Here is a 7,229-nt window from a genome sequence, read left to right as displayed (position 1 = left end):
CTGGTCTCGAACTCCTGACCTCAGGTGGTCAGCTTGCCTCGGCCTCCCAAAGTGTTGGGATTACAGGTGTGAGCCACCATGCCCGGCCTATAATTTCTTATTTTCTTTCTTTCTTTCTTTCTTCTTCTTCTTATTTTTAAATAGAGATGGGGTCTCGCTCTGACGCCCAGGCTGGAGTACAGTGGCACGATCTCAGCTCACTATAACCTCCACCTTCTGGGCTTCAGTGATCCTCCCAACTCAGCCTCCCAAGTAGCTGGGACTACAGGCATGCACAACTATGCTGGGCTAATGTGTTTGGTTTTTGTAGGAGAAAAAAATAGGACAAAGTATGGAGAAAAGACTGTGACAAAAGGATAATCATTGACTCTCGAGTTTAGGCTTAGAAAAGGCGCAGATCCTTTTGATAAATAGCCCAAAGGGTCATCCAGTGATTAGCAACAGGGTTCAAATCTGTACTCACACAATGGCATTCTTCATCTTGTGGATCCGATTGACTGTTGAGAGAAGTCAAGTCTGTTACTCAACAGGGAGGTTTAAATGACATAATTTAAATAGAGTGATCATTTCCCATACACAGCCTTGACTCATTCCAGCATATGGTGAAAGAGAGGAGCCCCAAAACCTCAAGTGTTGCCGGAATTCAGTTAATTTCTATTAGAAAAGGAGAACAGTAGACTAGAACCATCTTGTTCTGTGCTCTGTTGCCTGCTTCTAGTTGCCTTAACCGATACTATGGACAGGTCTGCTAACAGTAACTAGGCCTGCACAGGTTTAAATAGAAGTATAATCATATGTCCCTTGTTTGTAAATAGCTTAACATAAAGTAGGAAAAACAAGACACCCGCACACACCCAAACGTTGAATAACTGCAGTAAATGCAGAAATCTGTTACCAAGGATGATTCTAACATAACTCAGTTGGCTGTTTGTGTGGCAACATTTTAAAAATCCACAATCTTTGTAATGTTTACCTAGTAGCTAAATGTCTGTAAATAAGTGAACGTGATAACAATATGACTTACCCCTCCTAGAGACCATAAGGGTGTTTCTGTGGGGAGCAGGCAACAGCCACACCCCACCCTCCTTCTATATGGGTAGAAGGCCAGACTGAGAAACACACCCTTCATGACTAAGAGCTCAATTGTAAAAATGCCCAGATATTATAAAACTATTTTACCAAGACTTAAGGAAATGAGAAAAGAGGACCAGGCACAGTGGCTCATGCCTGTAATTCCAGCATTTGGGGAGGATGAGAGGGGAGGATTGCTTGAGACCAGGAATTCAAGACCAGCCTGGGCAACATGGCAAAATCCCATCTATACAAACAGTATAAAAATTAGCCGGACATGGTGATAAGTGCCTGTAGTCCCAGCTACTCAGGAGGCTGAGGCTGGAGGATTGCTTGAGCCCAGGAGGTTGAGGCTGCAGTGAACTATGATCATGCCACTGCACTCCAGCCTGGGTGGCCAAAAAGAAAAGGAAAGAAAAAGAAGAGAAAAGAGGATAGATATTAAGTTACTTTAATATTGCTTTTTATTTAATTTAAAAAAGTGTGTTAAAAAATTAAAGCAATGCACATGTGTAAAAATAGAAGTAAAATTCCTTTACATCCCATCCCATCTCCCTCATCTCCCACTCCAGTGGTAACTACTGTTTACATTTATTGTATATATTTTCAGACTTTTTAATACGCATATATAGATTATATATATCATACACATGTGAGCAAAAATTTGGCATTACAGGATTATATGGTACATATTTTCTCTGCACTATACTTTTTTCTTTACTTAATTAGTATATACTGGACACGTTTCATGTCACAATATGTAGCTCCACCTTATTCTTTTTTTGTTTTTGTATTTAATTTATTATTTATTTATTTCGAGACAGGGTCTTGCTCTGTCACTCAGGCTGTAGTGCAGTGGTGCAATCATGTATCACTGTAGCCTCAACCTCCTAGGGTCAACTGATCCTCCCACTTCAGCCTCCAGAGTAGCTGAGACTACAGGTGTGTGCCACCATGCCTGGCTAATTTTTTTTATTTTTAGTGGAGAGGAGGTCTCTCTATGTTGCCCAGGCTGGTTTTGAACTCCAGAGCTTGACCGATCCTCATACCTCAGTCTCTCAAAATGCTGGGATTACAGGCAGAGTTTCTGCTAATGAGGTGACTTAGGGTGGGACCCCTGATTAGCCCCAGGATGGGGCTGATCAACAGAAAGAGCAAGTGATTAGAGGATTAGAGGGTCGAAAGTTTCAGCCCCACCCACCAACTTCCAGGAAAGGGGTTGTGGGGGACACTGGAGATTAAACTTCATAAAAACTCTTGGACAATGAAAGCTCTATTCTCTCTCCTCCATACTTCAGCCTCTGTATCTTTTCATCTCTATTCTTTGTAATACTCTTCATTAATAATAATACACTAATAAATGCAATTATTTCTCTGAGTCCTGTGAACCATCCTAGCAAATTAATCAAACCAAAGTAGGGGATCATGGGACCCCCAGATTGCAACCAGTCGGTCAGAGGTATAGGTAACAACCTACTACTTGCAATTGATGTCTGAAGTGAGGTCAGTCTTGTGGGACAGAGCCCTCAACCTCTGGGATCTGACTCTAACTCCAGGTAGATAGTGTCAGAATTAAACTGAATTATAGGACACCTAGTTGGTGTCCACCACAGAACTGCTTGGTGTGTAGAGAAAAACCCCTACACCTGGTCACAGAAGTGTTCTGTGTTGAGTAGAAATTGCAGAGAAAAAATAATTGTTTCCCTTTCACAGGAACGTATTTTTTTCCTTAAGAATCTTCTTGATGGTTGAAATTATAAATGTAACTACTATGAAGCCAACACATTGTTTTAAATGTAAATAGTTTTTATGGGATTTATTATTATGAAAATAATACATGGTCATCACAAAAAAGTCGAAAGCTATAAATAAGCAGAAGAGAGAGAGAAACAATTTTTTAAAAATAGTCCTCCCAGGGTCTTGGTGTGGTGGTTTATGCCTATAATGACAGCACTTTGGGAGGCAGAGATGGGAGGATTGCTTCAGTCCAGGAGTTTGAGGCCAGCCTGGGCAATGTGGCAAGTCCCTGTCTCTACAAAAAAAACCTTAAAAATTAGCCGGATGTGGTGGCATGAGCCTCTTGTTCCAGCTACTCAGGAGGCTGAGGTGGGAGGATCCCCTGAGCCCAGGAAGTCAAGACTTCAGTGAGCCATGTTCCTGCCACTGCACTCCAGCCTGGGCAACAGAACAAGACTCTGTCTCAAAAACAAACAAAAAAACTCACCCAGGACTGGGCGCAGTGGCTTACATCTGTAATTCCAGCACTTCAGGAGGCAAAGGCAGAGGATCACTTGAGACCAGGAGTTTGAGATCAGCCTGGTCAACAGAGCGAGACCATGTCTCTACAAAAAAATTAAAAAATTAGCCAGGCATGGTGTGGCACACCTGTAGTCCCAGCTACTCAGGAGGCTGAAGCTGAAGAATAGCTGGAGCCCAGAAGGTGGAGGCTGCACTGAGCTAGGATCACACCACCGCACTCCAGCCTGGCAGATAGAGCCAGACGGTATCTCTTAAAAACAAAAACAAAAAAACACCACCTATAAATGTGACAACTTCTTCTTCAATTATATCTGTATCAGCGGTTCCCAACCACAGCAGTTTGGCAAGGTCTGGAGGCATTTTTTGGTTGTAACATCTGGAAGGAGAGCTGCTCCTGGCATGTTGTGGGTAGAGATCGATGATCTGCTAAAGATCCTATCCTGTATAGGACAGCCCTTTACAAAAAATAATTATTTGTCCCAAAATGTCAATAGTACCAAGGTTAAGACACCCTGATACACACACACACACACACACACACACACACACACACACACACACACACACACACATACATACTGACTTTAAAAAAAAAGGGATACTATTCTGTCATCTATTTTTTACTTGATATGTCAAAATATCTTTTATGTTAAAAATACACTTCAACATCTTTAATAGCATTTAAATAAATGAGTTATTCTTGAGTATTTTAGAAATTTTGTAGCATCCCTACATAAAGACATGTGTATGTTTGTATAACTGAGATGTTTCATAAAATAACATGCATTGTTACTACCTATACTGCATTCTATTTTATATTCCATTTTATTCCTTATTTTAAATGTCAATTATAACTTAAGTTCATTTCATGGCCCACTAATGACTGTGACTTGGAATTTGAAAACCAATGCATTACAGCTTCAGTTTTACTCTGATAGGTTATTGTATTTACAGTACAGGCCAACTCTCACTTCAATACATTTTCTGAGCAAATGGAATCATTGAAAAACAATGCAATTTTTTAATGTGTTTCTTTAAGTAACCTGTAATTTATGTTCTGAACCAGTACATTTTTAGAGTAAAAAGGGTTCTTATTAATAATTATTTCAGATATCAGGTGTAAATTGGGAGTGCCTAGAAAATATAGAATATATGATCAACCTATTAATAACTGAGATGGAAAATAGTTATTTTCATTTTTCTCTATTTCCTCTTATAGCATTCATTCCTCTATCATACCCATGAACACCTAGGATCTCTGATATTTGGTGAATGTCTTATAATTTGCTAATGTAAGCTAGAATCGGGACCTTCAGATTCTACTCCCAGCCTCAAAACTAATTGTTTGACTTTGAACAGATCATTACATCTCCCTGGCTCTTAATTATTCCTTCTACAAAAGAAGGTTTAATGATCTCCATGATTTCTTTCAACCTTAAAATTATATGACACTTATGCTGTAGGAAATGATATGGAAACAACTTTTAAAAGCTTAGAGTGTAAATGGGATAACTAAATTATGAAACATACTGGCCTTCACCAAAATACAATTTCTTAGAACTTTTAGAACATTTCAATACAAATGCCTGCATAATACCCGGGCTGGGCTCAAAGAGCAAGCAGCCAGATGGCTAATAACGTTGGAGACCTCAGAAGTGTTCCCTTCCTCTGCCTACCCAGCCACAATTCCATGAAAAGATAAGAGTACCCTGATGATAAGTAAGAGTAAGTTTCCCAGAAGAAACACAGAAAAACACCGAGAAAGAGAGAGAGAGAAAAAGAAAGAGAGAGAGAAAAAGAAAGAGAGAGAGAAATAGAGAGTCTAGGATTGGAGAAAAGTATGCTAAGAAGTTAAGTGAGAGGTTGACTTCACAATTTTGTTAGAAGTGGACCCTAAATAAAATCATGGCTGCTGAATAGATTAATACTCATACTCATGTTGAATGACACATAGCCCATAGAGTTGTTGTTTTGGGGTTTCAGGGGTTTTTTTTTTTTTTTTTTTTTTTGAGACAGGGTCTCTGTCATCCAGGCTGGAGAGCACTGGCATGATCATAGCTCATAGCACACACAGATTTTTTTGTTTTGTTTGTGTGTTTGTTTTGAGACAAGGTCTCACTCTGTCACCCAGGCTGTAAACTCAACCTCCTGGGCTCAAGTGATCCTCCTGTGTTAGCCTCCCAAGCAGCTGAGACTACAAGTGTGTGCCACCATGCCTAGCTAATTTGTTTTTGTAGAGGCGAGGTTTCTCTGTGTTGCCCAGACTGACCTTGAACTCCTGTGCTCCAGTGATCCTCCGGCTTCAACCTCCCAAAGTGCTGGGATTATAGGCATGAGCCACTGTGCCAGGCCTAATACACAGAGTTTTAAGAGTTACTGACTTTGGAGGGCATTTGTCATGTTTGTCACTGCCCAGGGTCTTTTTAAACACACTTTCCTCACATTAAGAGCCCTTCTTCTGCCAGATAAAAGCCTGGATTCATTCTCCCAGGTACCCATGAAGCAATGTCCAGGATTCAACTGAGGCTCCATCCGTCAAACACACTCACTCACCCAGGACTTAAATCCTGCAATGAGTAACAGGAAGAAGCTGAAGTGTGGTCCATCTTGTGCCAGAGTCCCCAGCAATATCCATACAAACCGTGCTGTCCATATACATTGGCAGGGGGATAGATGTCTTCCCTGGAGCAATCCCTTCTACAGTGTGGGGTTGTTCCAACTTAGCTCTCTGGAGAATTCTCTGAACTTTCTAAGATCATTTTATATATTTAAAGCTACTTAGAGAGAATGCTGTTGCTTGCAACTAAAAACTTTGACAGATCCCATATCTATAGTATGTTTTGTCTAGTAAAGTTGCATAAATGAGATACGAAGTTAATTTTGTCCTAAAGGATAGAAGTCTCGTTTGAAGCAATGAAGACCCTATTCTGGACTTGAAATATGGCAGAAGCAGGAGAGTCAGGAGTCTGGCCATGTTGAAAAATGGACAGTGTGGAAGCAGAGTAGTGAGAATGAGCCAGCCACTAGAAGGCTTTGAAACCCAAGCCTAGATGTGTGTTTTCATTGGAAGAGCAAAAATTAGCCCTTGTACAGGTTTTCTTAAGTGTGAGGTGCTTAGAGCTGCTTGTAGCATCAAAGACATGAACATTTCCAGGATTAAGGTTAAAACCTACCTTAATAGGTGGTCTCAATATTATCATCTCATTAGATTCCCAGGAAGATAAATCTAGAAGGAACCTCAAAAGAAGAAATCATAGTATCTTGGGAATAAAGGGAAGATTGGGAAGAAAAAGGATAGTAAATTAAAAAAAATTTTGGAATAAGGCTAAATAAGGCCAGGTGTGGTAACTCATGCCGGTAATACCAGAAATTTGAGGGGCCAAGGTGGGAGGATTGGTTGAGGCCAGGAGTTCAAGACAGGTCTGGGCAACATATCAAGACCATGTCTCTGCAAAAACAAACAAACAAACAGAAACTTTAATTGCAGTGTTCTTTCTAAGGGTATGGGAATAAAAGATTAAGGCTAAATACAGTGAACTCCGTTGTGCAATAGGAATCTGTGCTTGAAGTCATTATGGTCAAGCTAATTACTTGCCTGTTTTAATAATTAATGGTTCATCACATGACTGATATTTATATCAGTCATAACCATTACCAATCATTACCAGGATGCCTAAGTTAGGCATCCCACAGTCTTCGTAATCATATGTATATTCTGCCCATACACAATGATGGTCACTGTGGATAGGAAAAATAGGATGTATTATAGAAGAAAGTATATTTCATATGTGAAATTTCATTCATTTGTTCTAAGAATGGGTTCTCAATTAGTATTTACTTATTGATCATGGTGTGTATAACTTTCACAAATGTTATACTTTCACATATATACTGTGATT

At 39.9% G+C, this 7,229-nt stretch overlaps 1 annotated feature.

The window, feature by feature from the left end:
• Positions 221-1,283: an enhancer, noted in NCBI's record as "amplified fragment containing the chr10:23721086-23722148 (GRCh37) CAGE-defined region". NCBI's record gives its function as "transcribed enhancer in THP-1 monocytes {active_cell/tissue: THP-1}" and the evidence as "EXISTENCE:reporter gene assay evidence [ECO:0000049][PMID:24670763]".

The sequence above is a fragment of the Homo sapiens genome, chromosome 10 (assembly GCF_000001405.40).
Source record: "Homo sapiens chromosome 10, GRCh38.p14 Primary Assembly".
Taxonomy (NCBI): domain Eukaryota; kingdom Metazoa; phylum Chordata; class Mammalia; order Primates; family Hominidae; genus Homo; species Homo sapiens.
Note: the sequence above shows the minus strand (reverse complement) of the source record. Positions and strands in the feature narration are given on the sequence as shown.